At 44.9% G+C, this 20,659-nt stretch overlaps 1 protein-coding gene across 2 annotated transcripts in view, besides 2 other annotated features; it reads right to left on the bottom strand.

Annotated features, from left to right (window-relative positions):
- The window catches only part of NIM1K (NIM1 serine/threonine protein kinase), an 88,626-nt gene extending 74,302 nt beyond the window's left edge, over nucleotides 1-14,324 (bottom strand). Inside the window, exon 1 of one of the 2 annotated variants that reach the window (NR_072980.2) lies at nucleotides 12,893-13,697. The gene's annotated coding sequence lies outside the window, so the exon portion shown is untranslated. Of the gene's footprint in view, nucleotides 1-12,892; nucleotides 13,698-14,137 lie in introns of those variants that run through there. The other variant, NM_153361.4, reaches the window with a different exon arrangement.
- Nucleotides 13,299-14,008: an enhancer, noted in NCBI's record as "H3K27ac-H3K4me1 hESC enhancer chr5:43192643-43193352 (GRCh37/hg19 assembly coordinates)". NCBI's record gives its function as "activates a minimal SCP1, AML or CMV promoter by ChIP-STARR-seq in naive H9 embryonic stem cells {active_cell/tissue: H9 hESC(naive)}" and the evidence as "EXISTENCE:reporter gene assay evidence [ECO:0000049][PMID:30033119]".
- Nucleotides 14,344-14,483: a silencer, noted in NCBI's record as "silent region_15992". NCBI's record gives its function as "represses an Ori minimal core promoter by ATAC-STARR-seq in GM12878 lymphoblastoid cells {active_cell/tissue: GM12878}" and the evidence as "EXISTENCE:reporter gene assay evidence [ECO:0000049][PMID:35858748]".

The raw sequence follows: 20,659 nt of genomic DNA, 5'->3' as shown, positions 1-20,659 counted from the left end.
GATTTTCTTTTTTTCTCCCCCAACCTATTTTTTTTTTTTTTTTTTTTTTGAGGCAGGGTCTCACTCTGTCACCCATGCTGGAGTGCAGCGGCACAATCATGGCTCACTACAGCCTTGATCCCTGGGCTCAAGCAATCCTTCTCCCTTAAGCTTCCCAAGTAACTGGGACTACAGGAACGCACCACCCCTCCTGGCTAATTTTTAAAAAATTTTAGTAAAGACAAGGTCTCAATATGTTGCACAGGCTGGTCTTGAACTCCTGGGCCTCCCAAAGTGATGGGACTACAGGCATAGAGCCACCCCGCCCGGCGGTATTTTCTTTTCTTTACTTACCCAGAGTTAATTGCTCCATCTCAGTATTTCCACTGAACTCTGCTCACACTTTGAACCGACAGAGTATAAATTTATATTCTCATTATGTTTAGCCTCTCTGAGACTGACCTGCTGATTTATCTTCATATTTTCAATATTCCCTAGTATGTAGTGCAACCTAGGATATGGTAGGCACCAAATAAATAGTAGTAGTAAAAACAAGCAGGCCGGGCGCGGAAGCTCATGCCTGTAATCCCAGCACTTTGGGAGGTCGAGGCGGGCGGATCACAAGGTCAGAAGATCGAGACCATCCTGGCTAACACAGTAAAACCCCGTCTCTACTAAAAATACAAAAAATCAGCCATGCGTGGTGGCTGGCACCTGTAGTCCCAGCTACTCGGGAGGCTGAGGCAGGAGAATGGCGTGAACCCGGGAGGTGGAGCTTGCAGTGAGCCAAGATCGCAAGACTACACTCCAGCCTGGGCAACAGAGCAAGACTCCGTCTCAAAACAAAACAAAACAAAACAAAAACAAGCAAACAAGAAGTAAAACACAATTTGTGAAAGGTGATATAATGTAAACCACAAAGCAGTAACACTTTTTGAAGGACATTTGAGAGTAGCCATTTTTTTTAATTTGTATTTTTTGTAGAAATAGAGTCTTGCTATGTTGCCCAGGCTGGTCTTGACTCCTGGGCTCCAGTGGTCCCCACTACCTTGGCTTCACAAAGTGCTGAGATTGTAAGCATGAGCCATCACACCCAGATGGAAGTAGCCATTGTTTTAGTTGGTGTTAGAGTAGTGTTGCTAGCATTTTATTCAGTGTAACAGGGAAAGTATACTAAAAGCTACTTTTATTAAGCACTTACTGTACATCAGACATTGTGCTGCATATGCTTATGTGACTAATTTAACCATTACAACAAACTCTATAAGATAGATATTAAAATTCTCACTGCCTTGATGAGATTACTAAAGAGGATGAGACATTTGTCCAAACTCAGAGAGCTAGTGAGTGACAAGGCCAGTCTGGGGTCCAGTTTCACCCAATTCCACTTGCTGCCTCCCTCTGGTGTGCAGTGGAACCTAACACTACGAAACAGGCCACTGCCATGAAGTCCAGCATCAGCCTGGGATGGCATAAGTCAGTGACAGTAGCAAGAGCAGGCAGGAGAATTAGAAAGGAAGATTCTTTGACATGCCTTGTTTTTGTTTTTTTGTTGTTGTTGTTCGTGTTTTTTTGAGACAGGGTCTCCCTCTGTCACCTAGGCTGGAGTTCAGTGGTGCAATCACAGCTCACTGCAGCCTCGACCTCCCGGGCTCCAGAGATCCTCCCACCTCAGTCTCCCAAGTAGCTGGGACTACAGGCGAGCGCCACCTCACCCAGCTAAATTTTGTATATTTGATTTTGCCATGTTGCTTACATTGGTTTTAAACTCCTGGGCTCAAGTAATCCACCCGCCTCAGCCTCCCAAAGTGCTCGGATTACAGGCGTGAGCCACCACACCCAGCTGTGACTTTTTTTTTTTTTTTGAGACAGAGCCTCTTTCTGTTGCCCAGGCTGGACTGCAGTGGCACCATCTTGGCTCACTGCAACCTCCGCCTCCTGGGTTCAACTGATTCTTGTTCCTCCGCCTCCCAAGTCACTGGGGTTACAGGCACCCACCACCATGCCCGCCTAATTTTTTGTATTTTTTTAGTAGAGACGGGATTTTGCCAAGTTGGCCAGGCTGGTCTTGAACTCCTGACCTCAGGTGATCCACCCGCCTCGGCCTCCCAAAGCACTAGGATTATAGGCGTGAGCCACCACTCCTGGACTGTGCCTTGTTTTTGAATTAACCATTGGAACTATCAGGCTGGGTGTGGTGGCTCACGCCTGTAATCCCAGCACTTTGGGAGGCTGAGGTGGGCGAATCACTTGAGGTCAGGAGTTCGAGACCAGCCTGGCCAATATGGTGAAACTCCATCTCTACTAAAAATACAAAAATTAGCCAGGAGTGGTGGTACGTGCCTGTAATCCTACTCAGGAGGCTGAGGCAGGAGAATCTCTTGAACCCCCCAGGAAGCGGAGGTTGCAGTGAGCTGAGATCGAGCCACTGCACTCCAGCCTGGGCCACAGAGTGAGACTCCGTCTCAAAAAAAAAAAAAAAAAAAAACCATTGGAACTATCAGTGATAGTAAATACACAAATTACACCACTTTTTTTTTTTGGAGATGGAGTTTAACTCTTCTTGCCCAGGCTGGAGTGCAGTGTCGAGATCTCAGCTCATTGCAACTTCTGCCTCCTGGGTTCAAGTGATTCTCCTGCCTCAGCCTCCCGAGTAGCTGGGATTATAGGTGCCTGCCACCATGCCCAGCTAATTTTTGTATTTCTAGTAGAGACGGGGTTTCACCATGTTGGCCAGGCTGGTCTTGAACTCCTGACCTCAGGTGATCTGCCTGCCTCGGCCTCCCAAAGTGCTGGGATTACAGACGTGAGCCACTGTGCCCAGCCAAAGGAGGGATTTTTTATGGAAAGTTGAGACTAGCTCTGGTAATGTCACCATAGTTCAATAAAGAAACACCACAGATTAGTGTACTATATGACTATTGTTAAAAGAAAAACCTTAGCCAAATTAAGTTTAACAGAGTTTAGCTGAGCAAACAATTATTCATGAATTGGGCAGCCTCCCAAGCCAGAGTAGGCTCAGAGACTCCAGCACAGCCAAGTGGTGGAAGATTTATGGACAGAAAAAGAAAAGTGATGCACAGAAAATGGAAGTGAGGTACAAAAACAGCCGGATTCGTCACAGTTCAACGTTTGCCTTATTTGAACATGGTTTGAACAGTTGGCCACCTTTCATTGGCCAAAACTCGGTGACTGGCACAAAAGTAGGCTTCAGTCCGTTAACAACTGCATTTAGGTTGTAGTTCACAATGTACAGAGAAACTTTTAGGCCAAACTCAAAATATGTAGGGAGGCAGCTTTAGGCTGAACTTGATTTAACACTATAGATATCCTAAAATGTTAATAGCAGTAGCATAAATTTAATCCTAGAGCAGTAAGAATTGCTCTTCTTGGGAACTGAGTGGAGCCTAGGAGGGAGGTCTTCTTGTGCAGCTGCTAAGTAGTGAAGGAGCTATGGCGGGGCGGTGGGGCTGGGGGGATGGTGGAAGGCGGTTAGGAGCAAAACTAAAGGCTACCAACAAACATTCCAGCAGAAGCAAAACAGTCATCGAAAGGCTGGAGCTGAAGAGCAACCAGCAATAGATTGTGTCTAGATGATGAGAATTGTGAGGCGCCATTGAAAATCTCAGGACATGGAGCCAGCAGCAGGTAAGCTGAGCGTGGCAGTGAGGCTTTCTAGGGTCTACTACTCTGCAATTTGAACCAGGTATGTTGTGAGGTCACTGAACATTGTAAAATAACTCAAAACTCAGAATAAAACAAGTATTTTTATCCCTTGTCAGTCTTTCCTCCTTCTGACCGTTCCAGCACACCCGTTTTCACACTGACCTTTTTCTTCAGCGCTGCTTAGTAAATGGCAAAAACAAATGGCAATTTACTTAGCTGGATGTGAGGCACTTCAGGGTCTTATCTCAGTTTTCCTCTGCAATCTTACTTCTTAATACTTGGCTAAACCAAATTAACCTGAGGCTCCAAGCCGACTGGCTGATTCAGTTTCCCTTGATTACCCAAGCACACTAGGGGACTTTTAGGAGTCCACTGGGGAGGGGCTTGTAGGATTTTTTAATCTCGCATTTTGTATTGGAATAAACAGACCCAGAGGGGTAAAGAGACAGTGGCAGGGATGAGACTAGGACCAAATGTCTTTACTTTGTCTCTTTCAGCTATATCAGCTCACCAACCAGCCTAACAGAATGAATAAATATCTAAAACAAATTTGGGGGCTAGGCACAGTGGCTTACACCTATAATCCTAGCACTTTGGGAGGCTGAGGAGAAAGGATCTCTTGAGCCCAGGGGTTTGAGGCTACAGTGAATTATGCCCATGCCATTGCACTCCAGTCTGCATGACAGAGGGAGATCCTGTTTCTGAAAAATAAAAATAAAAAAAAATTGGGGGGATTTAAAAGTCAAGCTAAGAAAAAAAATTAATGACCATAAATGTTTTCCTTTAATATTAACTCAAAAGAAAATTTGGAAGCTGCAAATATTTTCTCTTGATAGAGGAGGATTTATTATCAAATAGCTCAAGGTCACAATCTACTATAGGCTCAAGAGAATAATTTAGAAAAATATCTTTCTTTTTTTTTTTTTTTTTGAGAGGGAGTCTCGCTCAGAGGGAGTCTCGCTCTGTCACCAGGCTGGAGTGCAGTGGCACGATCTCAGCTCACTGCAACCTCTGCCTCTAGGGTTCAAGTGATTCTCCTGCCTCAGCCTCCTGAGTAGCTGGGACTACAGGTGCGTGCCACCACGCCCAGCTAATTTTTGTATTTTTAGTACAGACGGGGTTTCACCATGTTGGCCAGGATGGTTTCAATCTCTTGACCTCATCATCCACCCACCTCAGCCTCCCACAGTGCTGGGATTACAGGCATGAACCACCACGCCCGGTCAGAAAAATATCTTTCTTCTCACATGTTAAACTTTTGTGGTAGGCTTTCTAACAGCAAAAAAAAATATATTTGGCTTCACAAATATGAATGGCTGTTTTATTTTGTGTCATCAGTTCTAAGAATGCTCTTAGATCCAATCATATCTTAGCATTGTACCTCATATTACAAAGTGTTCATCATTCAAACAAAGGCAGCATGAAAACTTTGTTGTTAGTCTTCAAAGAAAAGTCCCTGGCATATCAACTGTGTACTTTTCCTTTTTTTTTTTTTGAGACGGAGTCTTGTTCTGTCACCCAGGCTGGAGTGCAGTGGTTCCATCTCCGCTCACTGCAAGCTCCGCCTCCCAGGTTCACGCCATTCTCCTGCCTCAGCCTCCCCAGTAGCTGGGAATGCAGGCGCCCGCCACCATGCCCAGCTAATTTTTTGTAGTTTTAGTAGAGACAGGGTTTCACCGTGTTAGCCAGAATGGTCTCGATCTCATGACCTTATGATCCGCCCGCCTTGGCCTCCCAAAGTGCTGGGATTACAGGCATGAATTTTTTTTTTTTTTTTTTGAGATGTTGTCTGGCTCTGTTGCCCAGGCTGGAGTGCAGCGGCGCCATCTTGGCTAACTGCAACCTCTGCCGCCCAGGCTCAAGCAATTCTCCTCCCTTGGCTTCTGAAGTAGCTGGGATTACAGGAGCCTGTCACCGTGCCTGGCTAATTTTTGTAGTTTTTAGTAGAGACAGGGTTTCACCATCTTGGCCAGGCTGGTCTTGAACTCCTGACCCCATGATCCACCCGACTCGGCCTCCTAAAGTGCTGGGATTACAGGCTTGAGCCAACGCGCCCAGCCACTTTTGCATATTTTAAACTGGGTCCAACCCAGTTACTTCTCTCGCCTTGGTGTTACAATTTCCCCATATTATTTCCTCTCCATCCGGACCAGCTGACCTCAACTCTTTGTCAATTCACACTCATTCCTCTCCCTTGTAAACTCAGTGTACCTCCTGCCTGTACTACACAAGCAATCACTGCATGTAAACTTGACTTGTTGTGTATCTTACGGTTGTGTTCTAGCTGTCTTAGTAACTACTACTGGCCGGGCGCAGTGGCTCACGCCTGTAATCTCATCACTTTGGGAGGCTGAGGCGGGCAGATCACGAGGTCGGGAGGTCAAGACCATCCTGGCTAACACGGGGAAACCCCGTCTCTACTAAAAATACAAAAAAGTAGCCGGGCATGGAGGCGGGCACCTGTAGTCCTAGCTACTCGGGAGGCTGAGGCAGGAGAATGGCGTGAACCTGGGAGGCGGAGTTTGCAGTGAGCCGAGATCGCGTCACTGCACTCCAGCCTGGGAGGCAGAGTGAGACTCCATCTCAAAAAATAAAATAAAATAAAATAACTACTACTTAATGAGAGCCTACAATAAATAGCAAGTGCTCAATAAGAAGGGTGAACATAGAATCTGTCATTCAAACCAAGACACCTCTGAGAATGGGGTGCTATTAATAATTGCACTAGGACGGCCGGGTGCAGTGGCTCAGGCCTGTAATCCCAGCACTTTGGGAGGCCGAGGTGGGCAGATTACCTGAGGTCAGGAGTTCGAGACCAGCCTGGCCAAGAAACCCCGTCTCTGCTAAGAATACAAAATTAGCTGAGCATGCGTGATGGCACATGCCTGTAATCCCAGCTACTCAGGAGGCCGAAGCAGGAGAATCACTTGAACCCGGGAGGCAGAGGTTGCAGTGAGCCGAGATCACACCATTGCACTCCAGCCTGGGCAAGAACAAAACTCTGTCTCAAAAAATAATAATAACAATCACACTAGGACAACAGGTGTAAACCGGGGTTGCACTGACGAACTGGGACATATGGCCACCCTATCAATAAGTGATAGTGTGGCAGACATCACTGCAGCCTGGCTCACTCAACGTCACTACTAACTCTCTTCTCCTTTCTTTGCCTTCTGTTATAGTAGCTGGCGATCCCAGTTTCCCTTTCTCCCTCAAAGATAGGGATAGCTCTGAGACACAGTTTTGGCCAGTAAGACCTTAGTGTGGTGTTTCTGATAATTAGTGCTTTCCTGTTGAAAGAGGATAGTTGCAGCTGGAGCAGCTCCTTTCATTTCCTTCCCCTGTGGAACTTACAGAGGAGTAGTAGCCACCTAGAGACCATGAAGTGATAAATATGAGGGCAAAAGGATGGATAGCAGAACAGAAAGATAGGAATAAACTAGGTCTCTGATGGCAGCTAAAACAAAGCTCTTAATTGCTTATCTAGACCTCTTCTTCTGCAAGAAAAATAAACTTCTAGCTAAGCAGGAAGATTCTTTAGTTAACTGCAGGCCAAAGCGTACCTAACTTAGAAGACTAGTCATTATTTCATTTCAACTACTTTATACATATATATATATATTTTAGTAGAGATGGCATTTCATTTATAGATATATACATTTTTCATATATATATATATATATATATATATATATATATTTTTTTTTTTTTTTTGGAGACAGAGCTTCACTCTTGTTGCCCAGGCTGGAGTACAATGGCACAATCTCAGCTCACTGCAACCTCTGCCTCCCGGGTTCAAGCTATTCTCCTGCCTTAGCTTCCCAAGTAGCTGGAATTACAGGCACGTGCCACCATGCCCAGCTAATTTTGTATTTTTAGTAGAGATGGGGTTTTTCCATATTGGTCAGGCTGGTCTCGAACTCCTGACCTCAGGTGATCCACCCACCTTGGCCTCCTAAAGTGCTGGGATTACAGGTGTGAGCCACCGTGCTTGGCCCTTTATACATATTTTTAAAAATCTTTACAACAGCCCTAAAAGGTGCCTGCTATTATCCTCATTTTTCAGATGAAGAAACTAAACTTCAGAAGGACTTGGTAACTTGTCCAAAGCCATACAGGCAATTAACATCCAAGTTTAATTTCAAGCCCAAGACTGTCTGACCTCAGGGTCTGTGCTTCACACAAAACAGATGAGGCTTCTTCACCTTGTCTCATGAGCAGGAGCTGTGTGTGCCACAGGCAATCCCCTCTAAACAGATGCTGCTAGAAAGTAGGAGGATAAGAAATAGATCGTGTTCTGAAATGGTTAAAAGACAATATGAAGTGGGCTGGAAAGGTTTGGCTTTTCAGTAATCATTACTTAATAAAGTCCGCTCTTTTTTTTTTAAGTTCAAGTAATCATTGTTGAAAATAAAAGGCAATAAAAATAAAGACAGTTTTCACTATAGAAAGAAGGAAAGAAAGAAGGAAGGAAGGAAAGTAGGAAAGAAAGAAAGAGAGCGAGCTCGAGAGGGAGGGAGGGAGGAAGGGGGAGAGAGAGAGAGCAAGACAGAAAGAAAGAAAGACAGAAAGACAGAAAGGAAGGAAGGGAGGAAGGAAGTAAGGAAGGAAGGAAGAAAGGAGAGAAAGAGAGAAAGAAAGAAAGGAAAGAAAGAAAAGAAAGAAAGAAAGAAAGAAAGAAAGAAAGAAAGAAAGAGAAAGAAAGAAAGAAAGAAAGAAAGAAAGAAAGAAAGAAAGAAAGAAAGAAAGAAAGAAAGAAAGAAAGAAAGAAATCATATTGGCCAGGTGCGGGTGCAGAGCAAGACTCCTCCATCGGAAAAAAGAAAAGAAAAGAAATAGATTATGTTTTCCCCCTACTTCCTTGCCCTCACCCCTACTCTAAGCAATGTGAGGTTGCTACCCCTCTTACTCTACTATGGAATACTCCTTCAATATCAAGATGACGTGTTCAGTTCAACAAACATTATTTTTAAGCTCCGTCCTCCATGTTTAAGTGTACAAGTTACCCCCAGGAACAATGTAGATATAACTAAATCTACAGCTAGTGGGGCAAGGTAGATGCATAAACAGATCGTCTAAATATAATGGCCAAAGGCTAAACTAGAGATAGGTACAGACAGGGTGGGGCCCAAAAGAGAACATCTGGAAGGAGATAAGGCCTGAAGGAATTTCCAGGTGTGATTCAGCAAGTACTGAAAGATAGAGAAATGTAGGTCAGGGAAATGGTAAAATGGGAGAGGGGGTATGGAGTATGGATCATGGAAATTGAGGCAGTATAAAGGGTGGAAAAATCAGTACCTCTGTGTTCTGTAGGAGCTCAAGGGCTGGCGCTGTTGATTACATCTGAGGGAGTATTTGGCTACATTTCAAATTTCCAAAAAGTTTAAAAGGCTCTTTAAAAATCTTCATGATTAAAAATGACTAAGGTGTATTTTATTAGCCAAGAATAGAACTAATTTGGCCAGGCGTGGTGGCTCACGCCTGTAATCCCAGCACTTTGGGAGGCCAAGGCAGAAGGATGGCTTGAGGCCAGGAGTTCAAGACCAGCCTGGGCAACATAGAGAGGCCCGCCCCCCCTACCACCGACAACTCTACAAAAATAAAAAACTTAGCTGGACATGATGGTGCATGCCTGTAGTCCCAGCTACTCTGGAGTCTGAAATGAGAGGATCACTTGTGCCCAGAAGTTCTAGGCTGCAGTGAGCTATGATTGTACCACTGCACTGTAGTCTAGGTGAGTGAGATCCTGCCTCTAAATAAAACATAAAAATAAATAAGTCAATAGATTCTGTCCAAAATTGATAAATCAAGAACCAGTGGCCAGGCATGGTGGCTCATGCTTGTAATCCCAGCACTTTGGGAGGCCAAAGTGAGAGGATTGCTTGAGCCCAGGAGTTTGAGACCAGGCTGGGCAACATAGTGAAACCTTGTCTTTACCAAAAAAAAAAAAAAAAAAAAAAAGCTGGGCATGGGCATGGTAGCGTGCACCTATAGCCCCAGCTACTCAAGAGGTTGAGGGGGAAGGATTGCTTGAACTCAGGAATTTAAGGCTGCAGTGAGCCATGATCACACCACTGTACTCTACCCTGGGCAACAGTGTGAGAACCTGTCTCAAGAAAAAAAGAAAAAACAGCAACATAAGCTAATTATTTGGACATAGGGAGGTAAGTGATCAAACAGCCAAGAGTTCAAAATGATTGCCTCTGGAGACTGGGACTGTTGTTTTAGTTATAAGCTTTTATTTTTTATTTATTTATTTATTTATTTTTGAGACAGAGTCTCGCTCTGTCGCCCAGGCTGGAGTGCAGTGGCGCGATCTCGGCTCACTACAAGCTCCATCTCTCAGGCTCAAGCCATTCTCCTGCCTCAGCCTCCCGAGTAGCTGGGACTACAGGCGCCCACCACCACACCTGGCTAATTTTTTTTTTTTTGTATATTTAGTAGAGACAGGGTTTCACTGTGTTAGCCAGGATGGTCTCGATCTCCTGACCTCATGATCCACCCACCTCGGCCTCCCAAAGTGCTGGGATTACAGGCGTAAGCCACCGCGCCCAGCCAGTTATAAGCTTTTAATATACTCTCATAAAATTAGGTGAATGCATTGTGATGATAACAATTTGAACAATTTTTTAAAGTAAAAAGAAAAATTTCAGTGCAATTATGTAATCAAGTGTATCCATATATTATCCCAACTAGATAATTCCAACAAATAGAGACACAGAAAGCTTCTTGATGGCTTTAGGATTAGGGAGAAAAGATCTAATGAGCAGCTAGTTCAGGAGACCCGAAAAGACAGCTGCCTCAGCCCACACCACTTGGATGGGTGGCAGGGAGTCAGAATGAACTAAGATCTGCCGCTAAGGCCTCCCAAGTCACACGATTTTGCTAAATAGGGTACTGACTGCTTTCTGGAAAACCATCAGTGTTCTCTGTGGAAGATGAAGAGTGGAGTTCTTCTTAGTTTCCTATTCTGCAACTTCGTTTTCCTTCTGTGCAACCCTCTTTTCACTTGATGTTTTCGCTTTTACTTTCTTTCTATTAATCTGCTTTCTCCTTACAGTTTTTTCCCCTTAACAGTTTTATTTTGCTCTCTAATCTTAAATTCTTCCCGCTATCCATGCCCTGAATTTCTCTTAAGTCTTGGCTAATGCTCATATTCATAATGCTCATGTCAGACAATTTAGATTTTTGTCTCGATTTTCCAAGTGGTTAGCTGAAATCACTTTTTTTTTTTTTTTTTTTGGATTCAGAGTCTTTCTGTGTCTCCCAGGATGGAATGCAGTGGCATAATCACAGCTCACTGCAGCCTTGAACCTCCCAGGCTCAAGCAATCCTCCTCCCTCAGTCTCCCCAGTAGCTGGGACTACAGGCATGCACCACCACACCCAGCTAATTTTTAAAAAATTTTTATAGAGACAAGGTCTCACCATGTTGCCCAGGCTGGTCTCGAACTCCTGGGCTCAAGCAGTCCTTCTGCTTCAGCCTCCCAAAGTATTGGGATTACAGGCCTGAGCCACGGCACCGACCTATCACTTGGCTTTTGAACACAACTTGTCCATCTGTAAAACTGATTAATATTCCTCAGGATGCTGTATAATAATGGCTAAGCTAACCTTGAAGTTCTTGAGAGAAAGTAATTTAAGAACTATGATGTGGTTAATTCAAGTTGTAGACTATTATCTTCATAAGCAATTTGAATATTTTCTTCTTCTCCTGAAAATTAAAACTTCAATTCTAGAGACCTTTTTCTAGAATGACAATAGGAAATGACAAAATACAAAATGAAACAAATTTTATGAACAGTTTGTCCTTTCAACAAGTGAAAGAAAATCAACCAATGAATTAAAACTCTTTAATCCCTAGAGAAATACAGTGATCAGATTCAAAGAATGAAGTTGGATTTAATGTTATATTTTAATTTTTAAGTTTCTCAAAATGAAACTATATATGTGACAAAAACATTAACCTACTAAGACAAAAATCTTTGCTTTTGTTTTTTTAAAAATGTATGATAAGTCTGTCATGCACCTGTAGTCCCAGCTCCTCAGGAGGCTGAGGCAGGAAGATCCCTTGAGCCCAGGAGTTTGAGACATGCCTGGGCAACATGGCGAGACCCAGTCTCTAAAAACGAAAAGAAAATAAAACAAAACTGTAAGTCTGAGGGCTTCAAGCTGTCTAATCACATGCTATCAATGTTAGAATTTGAAGCTCAGAAATCGTGGATGTGTAATGAATTACGGTTCTTTAAAGAAACCAACATTTGCTGATAAAAGTATTTGAAATGGTACCACTGCTTGCCCCAAATTAAACCTTTTCAACTAAAAACCTAGGGTTAAACCAAGAATATAAAGGGCTCTATAACCTATCTGTAGTTATTACTGGGGAATTCAGATTTCATATAAACCTGTCTTTATTTTAAATGTAGTTAGAAAAAAAGCACACACCTCAAACCAAATATCCAATCCACATTTTTTCCTAACACAGAAGGAGGCTTCTCTGAAGGTTTTTCCAGGCTTACCATTTAACAGTGGTCCAGCTAAAAATAAACCCATGAGGGTTTACTAGGCAAATTCAATGGCACACCAAACACCAGTCCATGGGGAGTTGGATTCAGCTTTTTCCCCACTAGCCTCTCGCAGGAATCCCCCCCTACATTCTCCCATCTCCTAATTAGAAAGCTAATTAGGCTTCCAAATGTAAATGCTAAATGGCGAGGGCGATCTGGGCTCAGGCCAGGATTCGTGGAACATCTAACACCCTCCTCTGTCCTCTGTTCGTGCAGTGAGCTGTGGGAAGAGAGCTGGGCAGCATGACTATTTGGGGCCATTTAACTTGCTGGAGGGCAGTGTTTACTCTCATTTGTCTGAGCGGAAAGCTGTGTTGCATGGACTGCAAACTCTGAAAAAATAAAATAAAAAAAACAACAACATGCCTTGGGATTTTAGTACTTTAAGGGAAAAAGTAAGTACATTTTCATAAACTCAATTATTACCATGGTGACAACGAGGGTACAAGAGAAGGTCCTCTGGAGAACAGTTCCTGCTTCTAACTAGACAGCCTCTCAATAGAGCAGGGCGACTTCTTCAGTAACCATGACAACCAGAATTAGAAGTGCTGTTGCAACACTAACAGAAACCATCTTTTGAAGCGGTTCTGTGAATCACATTGAATACTGATGATGCAAGCTAGTGTGATACATACTTTTCAAACATTAAAAAAAATCTTATTACCATAAACAAATATTCACCTTAGATTTCCATTTGAAATCTTGACTTGGAATCACTTTTTTTCATCTGGTTTCGTTTGTTTCCCTTTTGGATTCCCGCGGCCTCAATTGCAAACGCGATTTGTGTAATTTCCAAACTTGTCAGAACTGCACGGGTAAGAGCTTAGAATGTGATTCATTCGCTCTTATTTTGAAACGGGATGAGGAATGGGGTGGGGGAGGGGGGGTAGACAGAGAGCCCTCTTGTCTACTGTACTCAGGAGGACGAAAACAGGGGAGGGAAGGGGAAAAGAGAGGAGAAAGGGAGAAAGGGAGGGAGGGAGGAGGAGAAGAGAAGGGGAGAGGAGGAGGAGGAAAGGAGGGAGGGAGAAGAGGGAAAAGGAGGGAAGGAGGGAAGGAAAAAACAGAAAGGAAAGAAGTGCTATAGCAGAATCTTTGCTGCCCATGTTATCTATTGCCTTGACTTCTCCATCTGCCAAGATGTGTCAAGCACGCAGAAGCTGGCTGGAATCGATATTTTAAAGACCCGGTTGCGATCTTTTCCTGGTCGTATCAAGGAGTCCTGGAGCTTCTAATATTCCTGGAGGGATATCCAGGAAGAGGAAAAGAGGCTCTTCCTTACTTCGTGCGGTCTTCCAAAAGAAGCACCTTTCGCTGGGGAGAGTCGCGGCGTGGGGTGCAATGGAAGGTTTTGTTCTCCTGGGCCACATGCGTTAGATGTCAGTTCTCTCCACCAGCAGCACCGGCCGGCGCGCGTGGGGAGATCACGCCGGTCTTCTGCCCTTGTAACAAACGCTCCAGATTTGGTCTGGTGCCTTAGGGCTCTGGTCCAGCGCACCCGCTGTGCGCAACGCTAGGCGCTAAGCTGCGCTCCTCGGCTCACGTGTGGACGCGCACGCAGACACGAGTGTCCACACCATACAGAGACATGGGTGCACACACGCGCGCACATAGACATGGGCGCCGCACATGACACGGGCACCACACATGACACGGGCACACACGCGCGAGCACGCTCTCGCCCTGGCTCTAATGCCCCCTCCTCTCGCTTGCGGATCGGCCTGGGCAGGTGTGGGGGTACGCCCCAGAAAGCGCCTAACCTTCTTCTGACCCCACTTCGCAGACACCCCGTGGCAGGGCTTCCTTTCTTCCTTGGGTCGCGGGGAGGAGAGGCGCCTCCTCCTCAGCCACCCAGGTCTGCAGCCTAGCAGAGGAAGGGTGGCGGGGTGGGGGTGCTGGCGGCGAGTCCCCCAGCCCCTCGCTTACCTTCGTGGCGAGGCCAGCTCTTGGGCTTCGCTGCACGGCGCCAGGCTAGGCGCGCTGGGTTGTTGCCTCTGGAGCAGGAGCGGTCGGTGTGTGGATGTCCCGAGGTGAGGGCGCCGCTGTCGCGCTTGAGGCTCCCGGAGCTGTCAGGGGCGGCCGACCTGACCGGCAGCGGCCCAGGGCAAACCCCGCCCTCCGGCCTAGGCCGGCTCCGCAGCGGGGACCGAGACGCCCCACAGCGTTTCCTGAAGGACCAATCCGGAGCGAGGGGCTGGCGTGGGGAAGGAGGGACGGGGGGCCTGTAGTGCACCCGGACGCCGGCCTGGACCTTGTAAGCTGGTTTCTATGGCAGCCAGGAGGGAGGGGCGAGAGGGAGGGGACGCGCGGCGCAGGGACACCCAGTGCAGTCGCTCGGGGAGGGGGGTGATTGGGCCTGACGCAAAGAGGACCCCTTCTAGAGTCTGGATGGGAGCAGCTACACGGCCGAAAGCGGGCTGACACAGCTCCCACCGACGTACGCCTCGTGCCGAGCGGTTCCAGCGCTTCAGCAAGGGTTTCCATGTCCTTGGGAAACCGTGACCCAGTAATCCTCCCAACAGAAAGGGGGTTTCCAGCAAACCACCGTGACAGCTCCTCCGGGTGAGTCGGGCAGGGTTTAGGTTCTGCAGAAAGAAGTGCTAATGTCACCCTCTGTCTGGATTCCTGGCATACATCGGTTCCCCTGGTGCCACTTTGTCACTGGCTCCCTAATCTCCTGCTAGGGAGATACTCTCGGCTGTGACCCTCAGATGCCAAAGATTATTTTTCTAGTTTATAAACTAGAAATACCGTCACTGGATTGAACGTAGAGTTGGAAATGGGATTCGCAAAATACTAAATAAAACATACCGGTTATTTACTGAAGTTTAAGCCCTTCCTTTTACAGAGAGAGAAAAAAAAAACTGAGTTCAGAGGGGTCAGTTAACTTAGCAAGGGTCACACAACTGATTAATGGCAGAGCCAGGACTAGACACCCTAAGTCATAGTTCTGCGAGCATTCTTTCTACTTCCTCCTGCTCTCCATCCTGTATTGATTGCCAGAGCAATATTTACAAGAGCAAAACTGTTAAGTAGCAACATAACCCATGTCTACAATTCTTTTATGGTAGAAACTAGGGAACCCCAAAATTCCTTTTTTGCTATTTGCCAGGCATTGTAATAAACTCTTTTACAAAGAGTAACTGATTAAATCCTCATGATAATCTATGGGTTAGGTACTGTTACTGTCATCCTTGTTTTGATAGATGAAGAAACTGAAGCCCAGAGAGGTTACAGGATTTGATCGAGATCACACAACTGTTGAATGCTGGCTCTGGGACTCTAACCCAGTTTGTTTGACTCCAGAGTTGGTGTTCTTCATTACTTTGTCTCTGCTGCCTGTTTGTGTGATGATTAAAGGGGTCAGGAACGGGAAGGGCAAGAAATAAAAACCTTGGACAGCTCCGTGCACTGACGGTTGAGATTGGAAAGAAAATTGAAAGAACCTGAAACAACTGCTTCCTTGGCTTCTGAGAGTGGTCATCTATTTATGTAGAACAAGGGTTCTCTCGAGAAAATTTGTTTTTAAAGAGACATCCCCTCCTCAAAAGACAAGAGGTTTGTTGTTTTTTTTTTTTAAGAGTAATCTTTAAAATAGTACATGCCATCAGTCTATTTTCTTTCTAATGCAATAAAATGCAGGGAGAAACTCTACATATTTTTAAAGATATAAAAGACCCTTGAATTCAAATAAACAGAATAAAATTTCATAGAGAAATTGCCTAGAAACCAAGAGCCTCAAACACCCAATCTGACAGAGGCTCTCTGTGACATAGATCCTCACCATCACACCCCAAAGAGCATGCACAAGGCAGAGGTGATGATAGGTTCTAGTAGCTTAAAAGGTTACTGAACACTTTAGGCTAATACCATCACATTGGGAGTTAAGATTTCAATATATGAATTGGGAGATACAAAAATTTAGTCCATAACAGAACCCTTCCCAACTTTTATCTTTCTTTCAGGAATCTCTATTTTATACTATGTGTGTCAGACCTTCTCATTCTATTTCATGTCTTTTCTCAGATTCTCTAGATTTTTAACATTTTGTGCTACATTCTAGGTAATTTCTTCAGATCTACCTTCTGTTCATGAATTTTCTCTTGCACTAACCTGCACACTGACTTTATGATAATGCAAATATAATTAAATCAAGAGGTTTGAGAGTGCCGATTTCAGTATCTTTCACAGCAGGGGTGAATTGATAGCTTAAAATTGAATCACTTATTTACAACAACTAGTATTATTAAAATCCCTTTTTTCTTAACTTTATAGGAAACTTGTAAGAACTAATATTTCTTGTAAAAAACCTTTTTCTGAGGTTTAGCAATTTTTTCTGCTTTCCTTCTTATTTCCGTTAAATCCAATAAAAATTAAACTGAAAGGCCGGGCACGGTGGCTCACGCCTGTAATCCCAGCACTTTGGGAGGCCGAGGCGGGTGGATCACGAGGTCAGGAGATGGAGACCATCCGGGCTAACACGGTGAAACCCCGTCTCTACTAAAAATACAAAAAAAATTAGCCGGGCGTGGTGGCAGGTGCCTGTAGTCCAGCAACTCGGGAGGCTGAGGCAGGAGAATGGCGTGAACCCGGGAGGCGGAGCTTGCAGTGAGCCGAGATCGCGCCACTGCACTCCAGCCTGGGAGGCAGAGCGAGACTCTGTCTCCAAAAAAAAAAAAAAAAAAAAAAAAAAAAAAAAATTAAACTGAAAGAATTAAAACTAGCAATGGTGACCCTGTTTTTATTTTTCTTTATTTTATTTATTTATATATATATATTTTTTGACGTAGAGTCTCACTCTGTCGCCCTGGCTGGAGTGCAGTGGCGTGATCTCGGCTTACTGTAACCTCTGCCTCCCAGGTTCAAGATATTCTCCTATCTCAGCCTCCCGAATAGCTAGGACTACAGGTGCATGCCACCACGCCCAGCTACTTTGTTCGTTTGTTTTTGTTTTTGTTTTGTTTTGTTTTTGAGACGGAGTCTTGCTCAGTTGCCCAGGCTGGAGTGCAGTGGCGCGATCTCGGCTCCCTGCAAGCTCCGCCTCCCGGGTTCACGCCATTCTCCTGCCTCAGCCTCCTGAGTAGCTGGAACTACAGGTGCCCGCCACCACGCCTGGCTAATTTTTTGTATTTTTAGTAGAGACGGGGTTTCACCGTGGTCTTGATCTCCTGACCTCGAGATCCGCCCACCTCGGCCTCCCAAAGTGCTGGGATTACAGGTGTAAACCACCAAACCCGGCCTAATTTTTGTATTTTCAGTGGAGACGGGGTTTCACCGTGTTAGCCAGGATGGTCTCCATCTCCTGACCTCGTGATCCACCTGCCTCAGCCTCCCAAAGTGCTGGGATTACAGGCGTGAGCCGCCGCGCCCAGCCCTTTTTTTTTTTTAAATACTTTAAGTGCTAGGGTACATGTGCATAACATGCAGGTTTGTTACATATGTATACATGTGCCATGTTGGTGTGCTGCACCCATTAACTCGTCATTTACATTAGGTATATCTCCTGATGCTATCCCTCCCCCCTCCCCCCACCCCACTACAGGCCCGGGTGTGTGATGTTCCCCACCCTGTGTCCAGGTGTTCTCATTCTTCAATTCCCACCTATGAGTGAGAACATTCAGTGTTTGGTTTTCTGTCCTTGCCATAGTTTGCTCAGAATGATGGTTTCCAGCTTCATCCATGTCCCTACAAAGGACATGAACTAATTCTTTTTTATAGCTGCATAGTATTCCATGGTGTATATAAGCTAGCTTTAAAATTATTGGTGGAATAAAAATAAAAATGCCTTCGGAACTGTCAGCATACATTTTGTCTGAATTTTATGTTTGTCTTTGCTAGATATTTTGAGATGTCAGTGTTTGGCATAGAAGGTTATAAAACTGTAATCCCAGCCAAAACAAAATAATCTTGGTTTGTGTGCTTTCTTTTGACGAATGAGAGTAATTTATAAAAGGAAAATATCTTGAGCCCCCCAAAAATTACTAGGCTGAAGAGAAGATTTGGGCTGGGAGCTGCTTGGGGAAGGCCTGCCTCATATTCTGTTCAGTCTCACCGAGATAAATGCATATCTAATTGCCTTCTTTGGAAAGGCTAATCAGAAACTCAAAAGAATGCAACCATTCCTTTCACACCTACCTGTGACCTGGAAGCCCCAAGCTGCATCCCTGGCCTTTCTGACCTAACCAATGTTCATTTTACATGTTAATTGATGTCTCCTGGCTCCCTTGTTAAAAGTGAAAGAATTGGCCAGGCACGGTGGTGGTTTACACCTGTAATCCCAGCACTTTGGGAGACCGAAGCGGGCAGATCACGAGGTCAAGAGATTGGGACCATCCTGGCCAACATGGTGAAATCCCGTCTCCACTAAAAATACAAAAATTAGCTGGGCATGGTGGCATGTGCCTGTAGTCCCAGCTACTCGCGGGCAGATCACGAGGTCAAGAGATTGGGACCATCCTGGCCAACATGGTGAAATCCCGTCTCCACTAAAAATACAAAAATTAGCTGGGCATGGTGGCGTGTGCCTGTAGTCCCAGCTACTCGGGAGGCTGAGACAGGAAAATAGCTTGAACCTGGGAGGCGGAGGTTGCAGTGAGCCGAGATCGCACCACTGCACTCCAGCCTGGTGACAGAGTGAGACTCCGTCTCAAAAAAACAAACAAACACACAAACAAAAAGTGAAAGAATTGAGTATAGTGAATGGAATAAATATTTTAGGTAAACTTTTTGTGTAAATTAAAATTTTAGAGTTATTTCTGACGCTCATTTAATATCTGGGTCATTTCCAATTATGAAAGGGTTGTGGCCGGGCGCGGTGGCTCATGCCTGTAATCCCAGCACTATGGGAGGCCAAGGCGGGCGGATCACGAGGTCAGGAGATCAAGATCATCCTCACTAACATAGTGAAACCCCGTCTCTACTAAAAATACAAAAAAAAAAAAAAAAATAGCCGGACGTGGTGGCGGGCGCCTGTAGTCCCAGCTACTCCGGAGGCTGAGGCAGGAGAATGGCATGAACCTTGCAGGTGGAGCTTGCAGTGAGCCGAGATTGCCCACTGCACTCCAGCCTGGGCGACAGAGCGAGACTCTATCTCAGAAAAAAAAAAAAAAAAAAAAAGAAAGGGTTGTGATATGGGGAAATGTGTTTCTAAAATTGTGGAATTGTTCTTATGTATAAATGCCCGTATCTGATAGTTGAGGATTTCTTGCTTTTTAGGGTCTCACAAAAGTTTTAAGTTACCAAGGATAAGAATTCTCCTTAACATATAATTCTGTTTACAAAATGTGCCAGAAAGGGTTATGTTATTAGTGAGAAAAAGAATAATTTTGTCTAATTCAGAAGTTATCCAAAAATTAGTTCAGGCCGGGCGGGGTGGCTCATGCCTGTAATCCCAGCACTTTGGGAGGCCGAGGCGGGCGGATCGCGAGATCAGGAGATGGAGACCATCCTGGCTAACACGGTGAAACCCCGTCTCTACAAAAAAAATTTAAAAAAAGTAGCCAGGCCTGGTGGTGGGCGCCTGTAGTCCCTGCTAGTCGGGAGGCTGAGGCAGGAGAATGGCGTGAACCCGGCAGGCGGAGCTTGCAGTGAGCCGAAATCGCGCCACCGCTCTCCAGCCTGGGCAACAGATCCAGACTCCGTCTCAAAAACAAAAAACAAAAAACAAAAAGTTAGTTCAAATTACAGATGTGGAAAGGTTATTTATGGAACGATGTAGTAAGGAATCATTAAGTAGGGGAGAAAACTATGGGAAAAGTTTGTATAATAAAATATTCTTTAAAACCTAATAGAGAATTGGAGACATTTGGCTAATTAACATTTTCACAGTTAAAGCTCTTAGTCTTAATAAAAGTAAAGTAAGAAGTATTGTAGAGAAATGCATCAGCAGTTTGGCAACTTTTTAAAAAAATATAGATAAGGATCTAATTTGGTTCTATGGATAGTTATTTTGTTTCCTATGCATTTCTAGCAAGCCACCATTTGTTCCATTTATCTGGAATTCCTAAGCTACCTTTGTCGGGCCCACAGCAATTAATGGAGCACGCTAGCCTTTTAACTTTTTTTTTTTTTTTTTTGGTGGGGGGTGGGGATGGAGTTTCGCTCTTGCCCAGGCTGGAGTGTCATGGCGCCATCTCGGCTCACTGCAACCTCCGCCTCGCAGGTTCAAGCGATTCTCCTGCCTCAGCCTCCCGACTAGCTGAGATTACAGACATACGTCACCATGACCAGCTAATTTTGTATTTTTAGTAGAGACGGGGTTTCTCCATGTTGATCGGGCTGGTCTGGAACTCCCGACCTCAGGTGATCCGCCCTCCTTGGCCTCCCAAAGTGCTGGGATTACAAGTGTGAGCCACCACACCCGGCCTTAGCCTTTTAACCTTAAACTAACTTTTTGGATTTTAGGCTTCTTGATACTTTAAGTGTGTTGAGTATACTCAATATGTATGG

This window comes from Homo sapiens, chromosome 5 (assembly GCF_000001405.40).
Source record: "Homo sapiens chromosome 5, GRCh38.p14 Primary Assembly".
Taxonomy (NCBI): Eukaryota; Metazoa; Chordata; class Mammalia; order Primates; family Hominidae; genus Homo; species Homo sapiens.
The sequence above is the reverse complement of the archived record's forward strand: the minus strand, read 5'-3'. Positions and strand labels throughout refer to the sequence as shown.